Source organism: Homo sapiens, chromosome 4, assembly GCF_000001405.40.
Source record: "Homo sapiens chromosome 4, GRCh38.p14 Primary Assembly".
NCBI lineage: Eukaryota > Metazoa > Chordata > Mammalia > Primates > Hominidae > Homo > Homo sapiens.
Genome location: NC_000004.12, coordinates 36,117,384 through 36,136,585, shown reverse-complemented (window position 1 = coordinate 36,136,585; position 19,202 = coordinate 36,117,384). Strand labels below are relative to the sequence as shown.

Below are 19,202 nucleotides of genomic sequence, written 5' to 3'. Positions count from 1 at the left end.
GAGCATATTTATTTTTTATGTGGTCAAGTTTATTGATCTATTATTTGTGAAGGCACTTCTGGTTCTTGTCATAGACTAGGCTCAAATATGATTGTTTATGCTTCATGGTTATTATATTGCAGTTTTAATATAATTGTTTTTGTTAGTCCTAGGACTTGGTTTCTAAGGTCTTATTGAACTGTCTTGATTCATTATAGCAAATAAGAATTTTTCTTTATATGGCTTTGAAGTGCCCTTTGGAATTTATGCTTAGAAAATAGACAATTAGCATAACTAATTTCTCTGTAATTAGAGTTCATCAACATTACTTTTCAGATTGTCAGGATATAAGTAAATGTTTCTTTGGAATTCGAATCCAGGAATGTGAATTTGATAACACTTGAAATCTCAAAGTCATCCAGCATTTGTGTTGAAAATATCTTTCGATGCTTTATTCAGTGTCCACAAATTTTAGGTAAGCATCAGAGAGGAAAGTTAGTGCACCAATGCTATTAAATGTCAAACCATCTATTGCACTACATATATATTTTAGGATTCGCCCTTTGACAAGTTGAGAAAGTTCTACTCTTCACTAATTCATGAGGAGACAGCTCAACTCATCATCAGTGGATTTTTTTCTGACTAGAAAGAAAATTTGAAGTTCAAAAATGTCACAGTTTATGGCAGAATTATACTCATATTGTAGGAGGGCCACTGCATTTTGGATTTCTTTCACTGCTTGCTAAAACACCCGTTGTAGTTGTTTATAAGCAAATAGTTACAAAGATTTTATATCATATTTAAAACTGAATTATTAGATAAATTATGTAAAAGTTTTTTCTCTTTACCTAAACTTGTGAATATAGCAAGACATAATTTTGATTAAGTTCACATAATCAAGAGGTTTGATGTTTCTCAAAAAATTATCTGAGTTATATGATTTCAGTTAGACAAATACATCCAGCAATAGAATACTTTTGAGCTAAAGATGATATAAGATCAATGAAAAGGCTGTAGCATGTCAGGTGTATTAGTGCAAATTTCAGAATTCTTCAAAAAGAAAATTACAACACCTGGAGGTCAGGACTGCTGTAGTGTTGTGGAAAATAGAAACAATAGATAAAGACGTCAAAAAGCAAGAGATGAAGATTACAAGCACCAGTATTAGTAAAACAGTAGTAGTTATAGCAAGTTCAGATGTTAAAAATGAGTGTGGTAAGGTGCAGGTATCTTTGTCTTCTTACAGGAGCATTTCAAGAAAGAAAACAAAGGAAAGAAAGGAAGTTTTTTGTTTCTCTTTTTATATTAGGTACAGTGATTATCAGAAATGTAAAAGATTACATTCCTTATTACCCACACCTGGCCCCCAAAGCCCCAGAATTCATGCGGTTTATTCATGCCTCTTTGGGTTGAATATAAACTAGCCCTGTCAAGTCTGAAATCAAGATTATATCGTTTTACTTTGGTGTAAATAGACTTAAAATACATCAACAATTAGTTTATGTTTTAAAGCAAACTTTGTATCTAGTGATAGGTCTTTAAAACTGCTATGTATCCACTAAATGCCAGACACTATGCTAATGACCGGAGATACTGAAATACTTTCTTTGCTTGCCTGTGTAAAGGTTGGAGTTTCGTGGCTAAAACATTCAGATAGCTACAGAAGGTGATATGATGCAGGACAAAGCCATCAGTGAAAGATTGAGAAGGAGTATCTGTGACATACTAAGCATAAGAGGGAGATCAGGAACAGTGTTAAGGAGTTTTACCTGGAGTATAATTCTGGGGGAAGGTTTGGAGTAGCCAGCCAAAGAGCAGGCAATATGTATTACAGAATCCAGGAGGGTGTGTGTGTGTGTGTGTGTGTGTGTATTTGTGTGTGTTTATGTTTCCTGAGTACCTTAAGTAAAGGAGAATGACAGATCAAGTTGCAGGTAAAAATATAGGCTAGATTATGAAGACTTTTTATCTTGAAAACTCAAGAACTGTAAGACAGTGATCTGGAAGTGATGTCATTAGCTTTGCGTTTTAGATCATTCTGGCAATAGTGAGGAGTAGACATTACAGGGGTTGAGAATTGGGAAAGGAATTCTGTAAGGAGGGGCTGTAGTGACCTGAAAGAACAACATGAAGATCTGAAATAAGGCAGTCTTGGAAAGGAGAGGAGACAGAGTGAATACATTGGGAAACTGTAGTCAACAGAATTTTGTGACTGAAGACATGTGGCAGTGGTTGGGTAAAGAGACTGATCTACACTTAGTTAATCCTAAATTTCTCGTGGGGTACGTGGAAAATTTTTGGTGCCAGAAGCTTGGTATGGGAGAGCAAAAGCTTTGATATGCTTATTGCACATTAAGGTGAAGATGCTCAAATATAAATATTCTTTAGTAGTATAGTTTATACATTAGTCATTAATGTTACGTCTATTGAGTGTTGTCCTAGGTGCTATTATTATATTTATTTTGCCAATGATGAAACTGAAGCAAAAATAAGGTTGACTTGTCTAAAGTTACAAAGGAAGTAAATGGCAGAGCTAAAATTTAAGTTCAAAAAGTCTGATTGTCATTCCCACTCTCAGGTGCTCTATTCTCCTGCTTTTCAGTCACATGGAGATCTGATTTATGAAAGTTACAGCCTGGAGATAGGGATTTGGAAGTAAACTAATTTATGTGAAAAGATTAAACTACTGGCCTGAATGGCATGTCCCTGGAGAGTCCATGGAGCTTTTGTGTGTGCTGAGGTTACAACTTTGCCATTCAGAAAGAGGAAGTGAGATTGGGAAAGAGACTAAGTGACCAGAATGATAGGAGGAAAATCCAGAAAGAATTATGCTATAAAATTCAAATTGAATGCTAGTTTTTTTCTCTTTTTAAGAAATAAAATCGACAATTCTAAAACCTTAAAAAACGTAACCAGAAATATCCGTCAGAAGTCACAGGTGATAGCCACAATGGTTTTAGTTTAGTTATTCAGAAAGAGAATAAAAGAGGCTAGGGAATGAAAAGAAGTGAGACCATAAATTCAGAGAGCTTCCTCAATGCTATGGAGTGATGTGACTATGCAGGCAAAAGAGGGATTGAGTGGAAGCTCGTGGTGGATGAGATAAAAGAAGAGTTTGTCTTGCATGATTGTGTGGATTTTAGGGTAATCTGTCTTGGAGTAAGATTTTTTTTTAAAGAGCAAAATTATAATTTGAAATGCTTTTTAAACTTTACAGAACATTATACATCCATGGGCATACCAAGTTGGATTTCACAGTCTGGCATACTGCAATTGAAAAAGCAGCAGGTACAGATGGTAATGCTTTACAAGATCAGCAGCTCAGCAAAAATGACGTTCCCATTATAGTGAACAGCTGTATAGCATTTGTTACACAGTATGGTAAGTATCACTGAGTTTTTATTCAACCCTTAGAACTGATTGTATCGTTCTTACAGGTTTTTAAGTGGTACCTCTATTGGACTGAGTTAAAACCCTTTATATTTGTAAGTATCCTAGTGAAAAATAAAGGCAGATTTACTGTTCAGCTAATTACCATTCCTTCTCCCAATAAGACTCATTTAAACTATACATTTTTACCATTTGCTCCTTCCTTTATATGCATAAAATATTACATAACATTGAAATAATCTAAATTATAATATGTACATAAAAATAGTAGATTATATGTTTTATTCAAGTAAGAAAAAATAGTAGATTGAAGACTATCTTTCAGAGATTACAAGGCTAGATTAAAGCCTACAGTGACACAACACATCTAAGCATGTTTTTAGAAGTGATGAACTGTGGAACAATATGTCAAATAATTTGCTTTCTTTGGCATACATAAAGTGTGCATGTAGTTTATATTCAGAAGCATAGCTATTAATTTTCACAATTTGTGCTCATTTTCAACAGATATTTCAATGAATCGTTTGCAGATAAAAAATACATTGATCTGTACCATGGTCCAGCTTCATGTCAGTTTTATATGCTATGTTAGTATTTTAGATATGCCTGAAAGATATCCTCTGTTCTTCATGTTTATTTTCAAATGGTTATGAGTTCTTCAAATTCCTTTTGTTGCATATATCTTTCAGACTGTAAATTTCTTGACCCTATTTTAAATGTAAAAATGTTAAAATGTTACCATGAGCCCTTTTAACCTGTAGATAAATGCCATTTATTTAGATCACAAATGTGGAAAAGAGGAAAATGATTTGATATTTTGGACTGTATTAAAAATTTTTATTCTCCTAATATTAGAGGTGTCTTTGGGTGTTTTTAATTTGAAAAGAAGGTACAAATAGTGAGAGGGCTGCAGTAAAGCATTGTGTTATTAGTTCATTGCTTCTTTATCGAGTGCTTGTTGTATGCCAGTCACTGGTCTCACTCTTAGAAACACAGTGGTGGAAGTAAAAAGTTCAAGACAAAGCTATGAATCATATCTTCTAGTATGGGAAACTGATAATACACTGATATGTAACAAAATATCAGAACTAATGATATGGATAAAGAAAACACTTTTCAGAAATTAAACTTAGGCATATTTTAATCTCTTGTTCTAGGGAGAGTGTCATTTTAAGTATTTTTCTTACTTTGTATGTAATTCAAGTGCAATTATTAATGTCCAGATTCATTATGTTTTTGTTATATATCTACTGAAAAAATATACATAAGGCCCACATATTTGGGCATTACTATAAAAGTTTCCTGCTATGATATGTTTTTCTTATTAGCTATAACCATCTGTTTACTTAAAAACAGAGGAAGGAGAATGTTACCTTCATTTGTTACAGTCACTCAGTGTTAGTACATTTTGCAGCTATACATGAATCACATATATGTTATGTTTTAGCAGGAGCATAACCTTATTGGGAATCTTCATACCATGTTAGTTTCATAATAGCATAAGGCCTTTCTTAAGCAAGAAATAATTAAAATACCTTGACTAGCTCTGATGTAGCCAATTTAATGTTTTTCTAGGGAAATCAGAATTTTCCTTGTGTTTATTTAAGTTTAAAATAACTCAGCATTCGATTTTTTCAACTAAAACTCATATATTATAACAACTTTATACCTCTATTACAAGATGCCTTCACTTGCATGTTAGAATAATAAAGCCAATGGAAGATTGTGTTTATATAGTTATACACACACACTTACATATGTACACACATATGTGTACATACATATATTCATATATATACACATATAGTCCTATATAACATATGATGTATATGTATTATATATAAATATGTGTCATATTTTTATATTATATATAGTTATACATATAATTGTGTTTGTATTATATATCTACTGAAAGTATATACATAATCACATATTGGGCACTACTATAAGAAGCTTCCTGCTATGATAGTATGTTTATATCATATATATATTTATATTCAGAACGTTGGGGAAACCTCAATGCTGCCAGCATATATAGAAGAAAGATTTGACAGAAACTTAGAAAACACCCAGTGATTATAGGATGCAGATGGTTTCATTGTAGCAATTATTTTGAACCCCCTGACCTGTGGGTTAAAATCTCAAGACCAATTTTCTGTGCTCATTGTGTCATTGTGTCAAGGTTTGAACTTGACTGAGTTCATAGTATGACTCTTAGGGCTTTAATTTTTAAAAAGTAAATTACACTAGTTCTTGGGGAAAATTATTTCAGTTATATAAACAAAATTATGTTCAAATTATTTTTCAGTTAACTTACTTGAGTGCCAGCTATTAGAAATTCATTCAGCTGGGGATATACTATCTCAAACGCTTAGTCAGCATTGATGTTTGTAGAACTTGCTTATTCTTGCATTAAGCAGTCATTTATTGAATACGTGCTGAGTAGTTCTAGGCACTGTGTAACTGCCGGATATATACAGAGATATGTCACAGAAAATAAGACATAATTTTTGCCTTCTAGGAGTTTACAGATTTATGAATAAGAGACAAATACATGAGCAGTTACAAGTCAGTGTATAAAATTCTCTAGTAAAGAGGTTCAGGGGGTGCTACTGGTGTCCATGGTGTAGGGGTAAATTTTACCCAGAGAAGGCATGGAAACAGAGAGCTTCATGGGTAAAGCACAGTGCTTACCATGAGCCCTAAGAGAAAATGGGAGCTAGTTAGAAGAAGAGGATAGGGACTCCAGGAGGAGAAACAGTGTGTGCCAAGGTATCGAGTCACAAAGTTTGTGCTGGGAGCTTTGTGGTATTAAATGTGGCCAGAGCTTAGTGTGAGAAGGAGGAGTTGATCAATATAAAAGGCAACAGGTTAGGCCAATTCAGGTAAGGTTTTATATAGCAAACTAAAATCCTCAAACTTTGCCGCATAGGCAGCAGGAGGGCAGCATTCAGATTTTTAAGCTTGTTGCTAATACATACAGACCTGAATTTTAGATCATGCTGTTATCATTGTTGAGACACACAGAGGGCTGCATAAGAATATGGGCAAGGAGTTGTGACAATGTAGTAAGAACTCAGTCCACAAATAATAGCATATGGGATGGAAAGGAGAGGGCAGTTCTGAGAGTGAGATCATGATGAAGAATCTATGTGATGCAGTACTGCATTTTTTGTTTTTAATGTGCTGATTGAGAAAGAAATACTCTGACTTGTAAAGGGCTAGGGAGAAGGCAATGCCAAATATTGAGGCAGAGAGGAACAAGATAAAGAACATGGTGGGGGTGGAAGGTGAGGTAGTAAACAGGGCAGGAGAATTAATTCCTTCGGGTTATTTTGATTTGCCATAAGATGTATGGGTGTGTGTGTGTGTATGTTGCATGTATATGTAATGGTATGTGTATATATATGTGTGTATGTGTGAAATCATGGAAATTAAAACCTGAGTTAAAATGTTTATGTAGAAGTGATGAGGTTGGATGGGTTCTCACCCAGTGGGCAGGAAGAGAAGAGAATTGAGGAAGGATCCCTGGAATGACCAGTAAGTATTAGTTGAGCAGAAAAAATTAGAAGACTGAGAGAGCAGTCACAGAGGGAAGGGAGAAAAAAGAGATATGAAATTATGATATCATGGAAGTTAGGGGGTTAAAAGAATTTACAGGGATTCGTTCAGAATGTCAAATGCTACAAGGAGTTCTCCCTAGATAAAAACCGAAAAGCATCTAGAAAAAAAAGAACATTGTTAATATTATTGATGAAGGGTGACCCCAACAGAATGGGGATTGGGCAGAGAAGCAAGATTGTGTGGTCAAAGGATTAACAGGCATGTGAGACAGTAGAAAGAATAAATATAGAAAACTCAGCCTGGTTGTGAAAGGAACAGGGAAAAGAAGCCTGGGAGGAGGCAAGGGATGCTTTTGGGGTTTGAATTATTGTCATTGTCATCATCACTCTTCCTCCTAACCACTGCTCCTTTTATTTGGTATGGAGTACTTCATGAATCAGTAACCATGAAAAAGAGGTAACCCAACTCTCCATTGGAAATAAGGTGAAGATGGGAGCATACAGAAATTCATATACAATATAGGGGCAGGTGGTTGATGACATTTATACCAGAGAGCCTCACTTTTGTCAGTGAGAAATGGAGGTAAGTTGTTTGCTGGGAGACTAAGTGAAGATAGGGCACTTTAAGAAAAAGAACATTTGGAAAAGATACTATGGAGAGCTGGAGGAAGGACTGATCAGGGGCTTGCCAAAAGCTGAGGCTGCAATGATTTGCTCATTAGGTTTACATTTTAAATACTAAAATCAGGAGTAAAAAGCCTTTCCTGCTCATGCATGTTTATATCATCTCTTGCGTAATGATTTCATCATCTTCTCGTCTCAACACAAACATTTGTTTTGTTTTTAAAATATCAAACTGGCTTTTGAATTTAGACTTTTAAAGTATAACTTTTTTTTTTTAAACAAAGGTTTAGGATGCAAATATATCTATCAAAAGAATGGTGATCCTTTGCATATAAGTGAACTCCTGGAGAGTTTCAAAAAGGATGCAAGAAGCTTTAAATTGAGGGCTGGAAAACATCAGCTTGAAGATGTGACGGCTGTGTTGAAAAGTTTTCTCTCTGACATTGATGATGCACTGCTTACTAAGGAGCTCTACCCATATTGGATCTCTGCTTTAGGTAATATTTATACAGATATTTGTAGATATGTGTGTGTGTGTGTGTGTGTGTGTGTATAATATAGACCATAATACATGCTTGCCTTTTAATACTTAGACTTTAAACATCTTTGATAAGCTGAAATTTTAATTGAAAGAAACAATGTACATAATGGCTGATAACAGAAATTATATAAATATCAATAGCTGTTTCTCTCTACCTCAAGAGAAATTCAAAATATTCACTAAATCGTTTGGTATATACTTAGTTTTCAATGGATTTCTTAGTGCATACTTTGCTTCAACTTTGGAATGTTACAGTCAAGTCCATGTGTGCTACTAATTTCTCATTAAAAATAAAATGAAGCATTTACTACAGGATACATTTTGCAAGATTTTCACCCATGACTCTTTTGTGTTTCTTCTATTATGTGTTCTACATCTTTAGTGTATATAACAATTTTTTTAACTTTTGCTTCATTTATTCTAGATTCCATCTAATGAAATAGAGTTTTGTTATACACTGTAAGAAAAGCTAATTAAGAGATGACCCTAGAAAAGGAGTTTATTAAATCCCTCATGGGTCAAATTAATTTTAGTAAAACGTGTTTTTAACCTCCGATGATTTAAAACAAGTCCTTTTATTGAAACATTACAATAACAAAGACTTAAATATAAGCATTGCCTTTCATTCCACCTTTTTACTGAAGCTACTTTTATTTTTCCATATTATAGTCCTTTTCTTCACTTTTATAATTTATGTATATGACATTTTTATTTTTATTAATAAATCATAAGCATTTCTCATATATCTATAATATTTTCCAAATGATAATTTTTATTTCTCTCTTGTTCTAGGTTTTAAAACTTACTTTTGAATTATTCCATAATTATAATGTGTTTGTCTCATATATTTAATCTCTTTCAAGATTTGGAAAATGGCTTTTGAATCTAGTCACATGGCATTCCTCTATTGAGAAGTAATTTTCCTCATTGAAAGTATTTGTTTAATCTAAAACAAGTGATATATTTAAAGAGATTAATTTTCAAATGATGTCACAAAACATGCACAGTTTGAAAATTATCCCAAGAATGACCCTAGTTAGTGTCAGCAAAAGTAGTATTATAATGAAAATAAAGCTTCTCACGATATAACTACCTTTCAGAAGTCTTTCATTTGCCTTCTAATGTTTCTCAAATCAGTAGGGTTCACTGTAATCACAAGAAGAATTAAGTGTATAATTTTCTAAGATATAAAACACAGAGCTAAATACATTGCTTTAAGCTCAGTTACCTTGCACCCCTCATTTTTGTTTTAAGAAATTGTATTGAAATGTATGAAGCTGTTTAGAGTATCTCTACTTTATAGACTTATAATTTGTCTTTATTATAAAATTGGTTATCAGTAGTACATGGCAAGACTGGGCACAGTGGCTCACGCCTATAATCCCAGCATTTTGGGAGGCCAAGGCAGGAGGATAGCTTGAGGCCGGGAGTTTGAGACCAGCCTGGGCAATATAGTGAGACCTTGTCTCCACAAAAAATAGAAGTGTTAGCTCAGGCATGATGTGCTCCTGTAGGCTCAGCTATTCTGAAGACTGAGGTGGGAGGATCACATGAGCCCAGGAATTCCAAGCTTCAGTGAGTTGTGATGGTGCCACTGTACTCCAGCCTGGGTGACAGGGCTGAGACCCTGCGTGTTAAACAACAACAACAACAGCGACAAATATATATTTGCTAAAGTTGTCAAATTGAGTGACAAACAAGTCTTCACTGTTGTCAGTCTACCAGAACAAGGTAGTCAGCAGGGGTAGGAGTGTTCACCTTTCACTTGCATGTGAGTTCTTGGAGAATTTATTTGGAGAAGGCTTTGAATACTGGGTCAAGTAACCTTTAACTCCTTTGCTTTTGCCAACAGTATAGTTTAGCTGGACCCTTCAAAAGTGGCCATGTTGGGCCTGAAAAGAATAAACTAGTACTGTCTAAGTGAATTCATAAAACTCTTTTGATGTACTGTATACCTGAGGTAGAGAATGCCTTATAGCCGTGTACCACCTATATTTATATGACATATGATCTGTTCTTCTAGGAGGACTGTTAACTTATATGTTTCGTTGAATTGCTCATTGTATTTTCTATATGGCCTGAAATCATTCCTGAGTTTTACTTTCAATTTATTTAGCTTTATTTTGAAAATATCATCTATTTTATAAGATTTGTGGAAATATGCATACTAGCATGACTTTTTGTTTTAAGCGTAGTAGTGTTAAATTTTAAGGAATAAATGCAATTTCTCCTACAGTTAGAAACTGGATAACGCGAGGATAAATGTTTGCATTATACTGGGAATTATACATAATTAATTTCCAGTAATGTCTTTGAATGTAATTTGGGTGTTTCCCCCTCTTTCTTATAGAGAGTCATCTACTAGTGCACTTAATTCAGTATACTCATGTGTATGGCTATTGCTTTCAGGTACAGGCTAAATCAGTACAAAAGAGATATCACTTGCAATTTTGAATAGGTGTGCACTTGAAAACTGTGTCATACAGAGTTTCTTACCTAGCCAGGGATCCTAATGTCCTTTACAAGTGACTTTGTACTTTTAAGACATCATTAGCGTGCTGCTGATTTTCTGTGAATAGAAGAGGTAAGGCTAAGCAAGAAATAAAATCGTCTTGTTTCCAAAGATAGTTGCGAATTGAGAGGAAATAATAAGTGTGGTCTCCTTGAGTTACCAAGTCAGCACAAGTGATTTATTTAAAGAATGATCTATTTCCACTTCAGGTAGCATAGGCTAAACTGTCACTGCATGCTCTCTACAGAGAGTTTAGATCTTTGGGGGTTTCTGTCTCTGGTTTCTCCAGATATTTGCCTTCTTGGAGTCAGGTGAGTGGAGGGTAAGTCCTTCTCATCCTTCTCTCCATAAACCAACAAATTTCTGTTCATGACAAAAGCAGGAGGTCTATCATCCTCTAAATCCAGATTGTAGTTATTAAGACCTGGGCTTGACTTCTTCCATTGCACTCTCAACTTTTCAAAAGATTTGAAAGTACCCTTTACCTGGATCGAAGGGGTACTGTACAGTTCATAGTTCCAGGATAGTTCATAGCTTTGGAAAGATTTTTATAATTTCATGAGAAATAAAAATCAGAAATGTCATTTTCAAATACAAATGATAAAACATTTCCATAGCCAGAGTTAAAATACTTTTGGCTTAACTCTTCAGTTTGTACTCCAGTTTGAGTAATTAATTGAATGTATTCCTGTTAAGTTAAAGTTCAGTATTCCATAAAGTAGAAGATAAAAAAATATAATCCCACCTAACCTTCTATTTTAAAAGTTCTTTATTTTAAATTACAAATTGTAAGAACTAGAGCACATAATACTGGAATGTTATGTAAATAAATGCTTTTCCAGATTAATAGGCAATTACTTTAGAACTTTGAACGATTGTCTACTGAAACCTGATTGTATCACCTATTAAAATGCATTTGTTTGTGACTGTTTTACAATACTGCTGATAGACAAATCCATAACATAGATAATTAGTTTAGATCTCAAGATTGTTTTTTTTTCCCCTTCAGATACGCAAGATGACAAGGAAAGAATTAAAAAATATGGAGCATTTATACGTTCTCTTCCAGGGGTCAACCGAGCAACACTAGCAGCTATCATTGAACACCTGTATAGGTGGGTAGATGAATGAACTTTTCTCGACATTTCAAACACAGCACTCAATAAGTCATTATTTCTTATGTGATTGTGAATCTTTCTACGTATCATAAGAACTCACCTTAGTCTCTCTTTCTGTAATTAAGTCACATTTACAGATAAATAGCACTGGGAATTTCTTAATCAGAAATAATTGTATACAGTGTCCTCAAATGCATCTGATGCATAAGCAAGAATTTAAAAACTCACTTGGTTTGGAAGCTGGAGAATAAAGGATGTGCAGGGACCAGAATTCTGTAACAAGAATCTGTCTGTGATGACAGTATTTTCTCATGGTGGACATTTCTTTATTATCAGTTTATATCTTACCTGACCTTTATATTTTGGTATCAGGCTATTGATCCAGTGAGGAAATTTTAAAAATCAAAAACAATTTTGTATGTCAAGGCATGAAGGTCTCCTTGCATTTGGGAAGATATGAGGAATGTAATGGTGACTTTACCAATGAGGTCTGAAGGATGAGGACATTTGAAAATAACCTTTTAAGTCAAAACTAGTTTTTTTTTTAAATCTTAGCAGGAATTATTACAAAAAGTTAAATAAATATAAATTTTGATTAAGGAATATATTGTAGCTCCCTGAATGGATGAAATACTCTCTTGAGTAAATTTCTGTAAAGCTGAATTTTACTAAAAGTACCTTATTTGCAGTCTCAATTTAGAAATGTTTCACAATTTGTGTTCTTTCCTCTTGTTCTTTTCTTTCCCAACCACTACTTCTCATTTATGTCAGCTCCATTATTGTAAAACTGATTTTCTTATTGCATCATACAAATATAGTCCACATTATATAGTCCTATCTCTATGCCTGTGAGATGTTGAGACAAACTTTAATATAGAGAATTTTAGCGTGCAGCATGGAATTATAGAGGATAAATTGAATGATTCATTGTGTGTTGTGGTCCAGGGGATGCTTCTATGCTTCAGATTTAAAGGGACATATGAATTGGGCGTGAAAGAAATGAGTGAAGGATAATGTCTGGGACATAGGAGTACTAGAAGATGACAGAGTTATAGTTGGCTGGCAGGAAGTTGTGGAAGGCTTTGTAGGTCATGCAAAAACATTTGGATTTTATCCTTTAAGTGATAAGAAGTAACAGATCAAATGTGTTAGGATAATAATCCCTATGATGGTATTGTTAGGGAAAATGTAGCATAGAGACAGATAAACTAACTAGGAAACAGTTTTGTTGAGTTTCTGGTGAGAAAACCTGGGAGAGAAGGGACTGGGCAAGCTGAATATGGAACACTTGGAAATGTTAACACCTCGGAGCAGAGAAGTAAAGGAAGAAAAGGAAACACTATATTATACCTATTTTGTCCCAGAAACTAAGGCAGCCACTTAAATTAAAGACAAGAGAGGTGAAAAGTACCAAAGGGGATGATACTGCAGAAGGAAGTCCCAAGAAATGCAGGAATGTCCTTAAAGATAATGTCCTTAAAAGATTGAGAAGTAAATTGGATGAGGACAAGTTGATTTAGCCTTTAATTCAATCCCTACCCTAGCTAAAAGAGTATTTCCTCCATCAGTAATATCCTCTTAATTCCATTCGCCAGGTGTTTATCATGCACCACAATGTAATTAAAGAGTTTCTGACTGTGAGATACATAGATTCTAGTAACAGAGACAGACATGCAGATAAATGTTCCAGATGTTTACAGTTAAGTGTACTGTAAAAGCATAGACATTGTTTTGAGAGGGGTGTTCACAATTATCGCATCCTCTTCTATTAAACTCCAGTTCCTTTTGCATGTTGTAAATCACGTGTGATGATTGCACTTGCACCATCTCTGCTATGCAATTTGGTATTTTATTATGAATTCTCTACATTAACATATGTATTGCTATCATGTTTATTCACCTTTTCTTGTAGCTACCTGAATCTGTGTTCTTCATAGATGGGAATGTCTAGCTTAGTCTTACTACATTCATTTGATGGAGTTACTATATTCATTTGATCAAGTGTGCCACTTACAGTTCTCGTCTGTTACATTTTTAGCAATGTAACTTTCCCTTTCTTAGGGATGATGCTTCAGGGAGTTGTTTTGGTTTTTTTTGTAAACTTTTAAGTTCAGGGGTACAGTGTGTAGGTTTGTTACACAGGTAAACTTGTATCACAGGGGTTTGTTGTACAGATTATTTCCTCATCCGGGTATTAAGCCTAGTACCCATTAGTTATTTCTCCTGATCCTCTCCCTCTTCCCACTCTTCACCCTCCATTAGGCCCCAGTGTATGTTGTTTGCTATGTATTCTCATCATTTAGCTCCCACTTATAAGTGAGAATATACAGTATTTGGTTTTCTGTTCCTGTGTTAGTTTGCTAAGGATATTGGCCTCCAGCTCCATCCATGTTGCTGCAAAGGACGTGATCTCATTCTTTGTTATGGCTGCATAGTATTCCATGGTGTTTATGTACCACATTTTCCTTACTCTGTCATTGATGGGCATTTAGGTTTGATTTAATGTCTTTGGTTTTGTGAACAGTGCTGCAGTGAATATATGTGTGTCTGTGTCTTTATAATATAATGATTTATATTCCTTTGGGTATATACCTAGTAATAGGATTGCTGGGTTGAATGATATTTCTGTCTTTAGGTCTTTGAGAAATTGCCACACTGTCTTCTACAGTGGTTGAACTAATTTACACTCCCAGTAACAGTGTAAAAGCATTCATTTTTCCCCATAACCCCTCTAGCATCTGTTATTTTTTTGACTTTTCAGTAATAGCCATTCTGACTATTGTGAGTGTGAGATGATATCTCATTGTGGGTTTATTTTTTTTAATTACTTTATACTTATTCGTAAACAGTTTAACAACTCTTTTAAGACCCCAGTGTTATAGCCTACTGATTGAAAGAGTTGACTCCTTCGTTCATTTCTGTTCATTATAAAAAGGCATTCTTAGTTATATCCAAGAAAAATGTAATTGCATTTTAAAGTAGTCTGCCTTGTGATAATATTTTATTTAGAATAGCTGTATGGACACATGGGCCCAGATATTCTTTCTCATTTGATTTGCACTTTCTGGAAAATTTAGCCCAGCTTGGCACCTGGAATTTGGAACTGTCAATTATATGTCTAATGACCTACCTTTTTTGCCTGTTTTCTACATACCTCCTGCCCCATTTCCTCCTCCTATGCTGCAGCCCCACAAGTCATTTTACGCCATTCTGCAAGCATACTTCTATACTTTGGCCACAGGTTGTTTTATAGTTTGCAATTGTTTGAATATGGTCAGCCCTTTCTCTAAATCAACAATTAAGTATGACTTTGTAACTTTTACTAATCTATTTAACAGTACTTTTTCTGATGTTCTTAACTATCATTATAAGCTACTTAGAAGAAAGAACCATATGCTTTTAAGTCACCACTGTATCTTTTATGTCAGAGAATTCCAATATTGCTGTGTTTAAAAATTGATAAACTGGCTTTCTGTTCTATGAAATTTCCAAATAAAAGTGTATCATAATAAACTATGCTTTTCTCTGACAGGGTTCAGAAATGCTCAGAAATCAATCACATGAATGCCCATAATTTGGCCTTGGTCTTTTCATCCTGTTTGTTTCAAACGAAGGGACAAACTAGTGAAGAAGTGAATGTAATTGAGGACCTAATTAATAATTATGTAGAAATATTTGAGGTAATTATTTTGTATCCTGCCCTTGTTAAAATGGTTATAATGTCACTGTTTGCCAACAAATATTTATGTTGTAGGGTGTTATTATTCAGATCTTTATTCATATTTAGAAATACATAAAATAAGGAATAGTCATATTTTTTTAAATTATAGATATAAGTAGCTTTTAAGCTATAGTCATTATTTAAATTTGGTTGCATTTAAAACTTTTTACCATCTGATATCTGTTTGACAGAATATTTCTATTTATAGGATTTTTGCATGTGTTTTCTTTTTCTTCATGTGTATGAATTATATCTACTTAGAAGTGTGAAGTTATAAAATGAACAATTCATTAATAAATACCAGACTCTTAAATTCTGCAGTTGAAAGCCCTTTGGTTTTTTCTTTTAGTTGTGTCCCCAGTTGGAAACAAATAACATTCTAAAATATTATTATTCTATGGTGTTTTACTAAGTCATCTGTTTTAATTGACTTTTTAAATTTCCATTTTATAAAGTTAATATTTTCATGTTTCATCAGAAAACTGTTGGAGTAGGGATGATTTCTTGGTTCAAAGAAGTAAAAATAGGGGAAATAAGCCCAGGATTCAAATTGGTGGATTTGGGCAAAAGGTCCAGTTCTATTATATAACTAGTTCTAGCACCTCAATTTTGTCATTTAACCTTTTGAACATTCCCTTAAATGGTGTTTATGAGTCCAGTTGTTTTCCGGAAGTATGGCTGTACCACATGAAGTCAAGACAGTTAGTGTAATTGGTTACCATTGTAGAGTTCTTACGTTCTTATTATAATCACTTATCATAAGACAAGAAAAAGAAGCTATTTTAATAAAACAAAATATCACAGTCTGTATCTTAATTTACATAGGAATAGACACCAGATTGTGGGATTTTCTTTGCTCTTTGATCTCCTCTTTACTTCTTTCTATATGTGTCCACTGTTTTTGATCAATAGCAACTTCTTTGCAATAATCTGATGCTGAGAAAATAAAGATTTAGAAAAATATGATGTGTGGCTTACATGCTGTCTCTATTTTCTGTATTTGTAGTTTTCCATTAATAAAATGGTTATCTTCATAGTTATGTTAAACTTTACCTAAATGATGGAAATTTAATAAGCACCTAATGAACATTTCAGTTTGATACATGAGCTTTGTTTCTCAACCTACATAAACTTAAGCCAGTCATCAGATCCTTTGCTTAAGTTTCCTAAGAAATAGGACTTCCATCAATGCAATTGCAGCCTGAAGTAGTATCATCATAAAATATTTTGAACTTTAGGATACTCTATCTTGTTGGCTTTGTTTCCACCCTAGCTGTGTGGGCTCATATTGATTCCGATGGCCATTCTCATTTATTTTTAAGTTGTTAGTATTTAAATTCCTGAAGATTACATGAGGATGAGTGTCATCACTCTTCGTATTCTACATTATTAGAATGTCCCGAATTATATTTTAAACAGGTTAAAGAAGATCAAGTCAAACAAATGGACATAGAAAATAGCTTTATTACCAAGTGGAAAGACACCCAAGTGAGTAGTAATAGTTAGATCTCTAAATAATTAAACAAAACAAAAACTTCCATTGTAAGTAAAGACATTTGCTGTGTGTATTTTCAAGTTCCTATTTTAAGCAAAGTAAAAGTAATGAGTGAAAAAAAAAACTAATTGGTTGTGTAATTCAGCAACCTGATACATATATGCAAAATATGTTAATGTAAATTTTTAAAAATAGAAAATCAGTTTTAATTTACCTTTCAAGGTTTTCTTTATAAAATCAACTTTTGTGTATAAAACCATGACTGAAAATGCTAATGGATTTCAAAGGAAGCATTTAAAACCAAAGAAATACTTAGAGTAAGTTGAAAATTCAGACAGCCTAGTGATTCTTTCTATTGTTATTTTGAAACTATAAATTATTTCTTATATGCTTTTGCTTTGCATGCTTTCATATGATTGTATTAATGGAATGCATCTAATTTGATCTTTGTAACACATTCTAATTTTTGTCCTAAGTTGACTTTTCTATATCCTGTCCTGTTTTCCTCAGTCACATTATACTGGATTTTTGTGTTCTGGTTGCACTATGCTTGTTTGGTGAATATTCACTGGAATTTCTTAAGGTTGATGATTAGTCATCTTCTAGTAACTAGGAGTTAGAGTGGATTCAGGGTACCAATATAAATGATAGAAATGGATCAGATGTGCTCTGTTTACAGATACATAATGAGGCAAATGCTTTTTTGTTAGTCAGACATTAAATTCTCCTCAGTCCTGAAATATCCACAACTAACTAGAGTCATTGAAACTGTCATTCCATATAAAGAAAATAGAGGAAGGCCTAGATCAGTACTAATACTATGATATTAATGAATTATTTTCTCCATTTTGACCCAGAGTAATTATGCAGCTTCCAAAGGAGTCAGCTTTAACCTTAAAAAATCTAGGTCATTATCAATTATCTTAAATTCTCACTTTTTTTGGGAGCGGGGAGGAAGTCTTTAGTCATGAAATAAAGGATTGTGTGAGGCTGAGAGGTAAACTTTAACCACACTATCTACATTGTTATTAAAAAAGTTTGAGTATCCTTTTGCATTTTTTATCTTTTATATTCATATTACAATAAAGAAAGATGTTTTGAATGCTTTCAGTTTAGTCTGTATATGTAAGTAAAAATAATAGTATTTGGAAAAGATAAGTAAAAGAGTCTGGGAAAATCTGTTTTTTTACTTAAATTTTTCCTCTAATCCATTTAAAACTGTCTTCTGGAGTATTTTTTTCTGACATTCAGTCTCTTTGTCTTACCCCTGTTTGAATTTCTTACCTATTCTTCTTTTTTATTTCATTCTATGAGTTCTTTGTATTTACTTTTTAAGTTTTTTTTTTTTTTTTAACTTTTTAAGTTTTAAAATGTGTCCTTCCTGGAGAGCTGTTTATGCAAACATAGTGAAAAGCAAAAGTGTCAACTGTATCTTTTACTTACTGAAATGTATCTGTAGCATTGAAAGTCAGGAGGAAAAACTGGAAATAAGCTTTTCTAAGCCTGTAATGCCAGAAAAATTAAGGAACTTTTTCAAAGTTCATCTTTAATGTTTTCCCCACAAAATTTTTTTCCCCACAAGTTTACTCATTAGATTTTATGCTGAGGTGAATTTAATTTGAGAATGATTTCTTGGTTATGATCTTTTTTATTTAAATCAGGTGATACTGTTTCTAATTGGTTACATAACTTAAGGGAACTTCTGAAAAAAGTTACTCAAAATATTTTTCATAGATTCATTTGGTTCTTTGTTAACCTTCTATACTGTTAATCTGTATAGTGATATGACATCATAAGGCCTTTTATTTTCAGGCTTGCATCTTCTTCACTTTGTCTGTCTTTTGGGATATAATAATGACCTAAATTAGTACTTAATTCTTGGCCAAAGATAATTAAAAACTTCTTTTTATTGTCTGCCATATTCCATGAATGACCTCACTTTTATTTTTCTTTCTAAATTTATGTTATTTGTAGTTTTAATATAGCTCTGACCTAGTTTATCCTCAAAGTTCAATTTTCAGGCATATCTTCTCTTTAAAAACGTAGCAAGCCATAATTTGCCTTTTAAATATTGGTATCATGCACACATTATAGCTTGAAGCAAAACTTCATGTGTTTTGTTTTCACCCCTCATTTTGTTTATCCTGTTAACGTACATGCTGATGGCTCCTACAACTTCTGTTGTCACAGCCAGCATATATCTATTGTAGCTGGATTCATTATTTTAGGAAAAATGTAAGGTATTTGAGAGTACTAAGC

The 19,202-nt window shown here is 33.5% G+C and overlaps 1 protein-coding gene across 16 annotated transcripts in view; it reads left to right on the top strand.

The window, feature by feature from the left end:
* ARAP2 (ArfGAP with RhoGAP domain, ankyrin repeat and PH domain 2) overlaps window positions 1-19,202 on the top strand; it is a 239,381-nt gene that overhangs the window by 108,199 nt on the left and 111,980 nt on the right. For 12 of the 16 annotated variants that reach the window (XR_007096351.1, XR_007096353.1, XR_007096350.1 and 9 more), the window contains 5 exons: window positions 3,197-3,360; window positions 7,841-8,053; window positions 11,619-11,724; window positions 15,260-15,407; window positions 16,868-16,936. Coding sequence is in view for 6 of the 16 variants with exons in the window: in XM_047449575.1 (XP_047305531.1) it covers window positions 3,197-3,360; window positions 7,841-8,053; window positions 11,619-11,724; window positions 15,260-15,407; window positions 16,868-16,936 (700 nt within the window). In the remaining 10 variants the exon portion in view is untranslated. The remainder of the gene's footprint in view (window positions 1-3,196; window positions 3,361-7,840; window positions 8,054-11,618; window positions 11,725-15,259; window positions 15,408-16,867; window positions 16,937-19,202) is intronic. The other 4 variants (XR_007096352.1, XM_047449574.1, XM_047449573.1 and 1 more) reach the window with 1 other exon arrangement.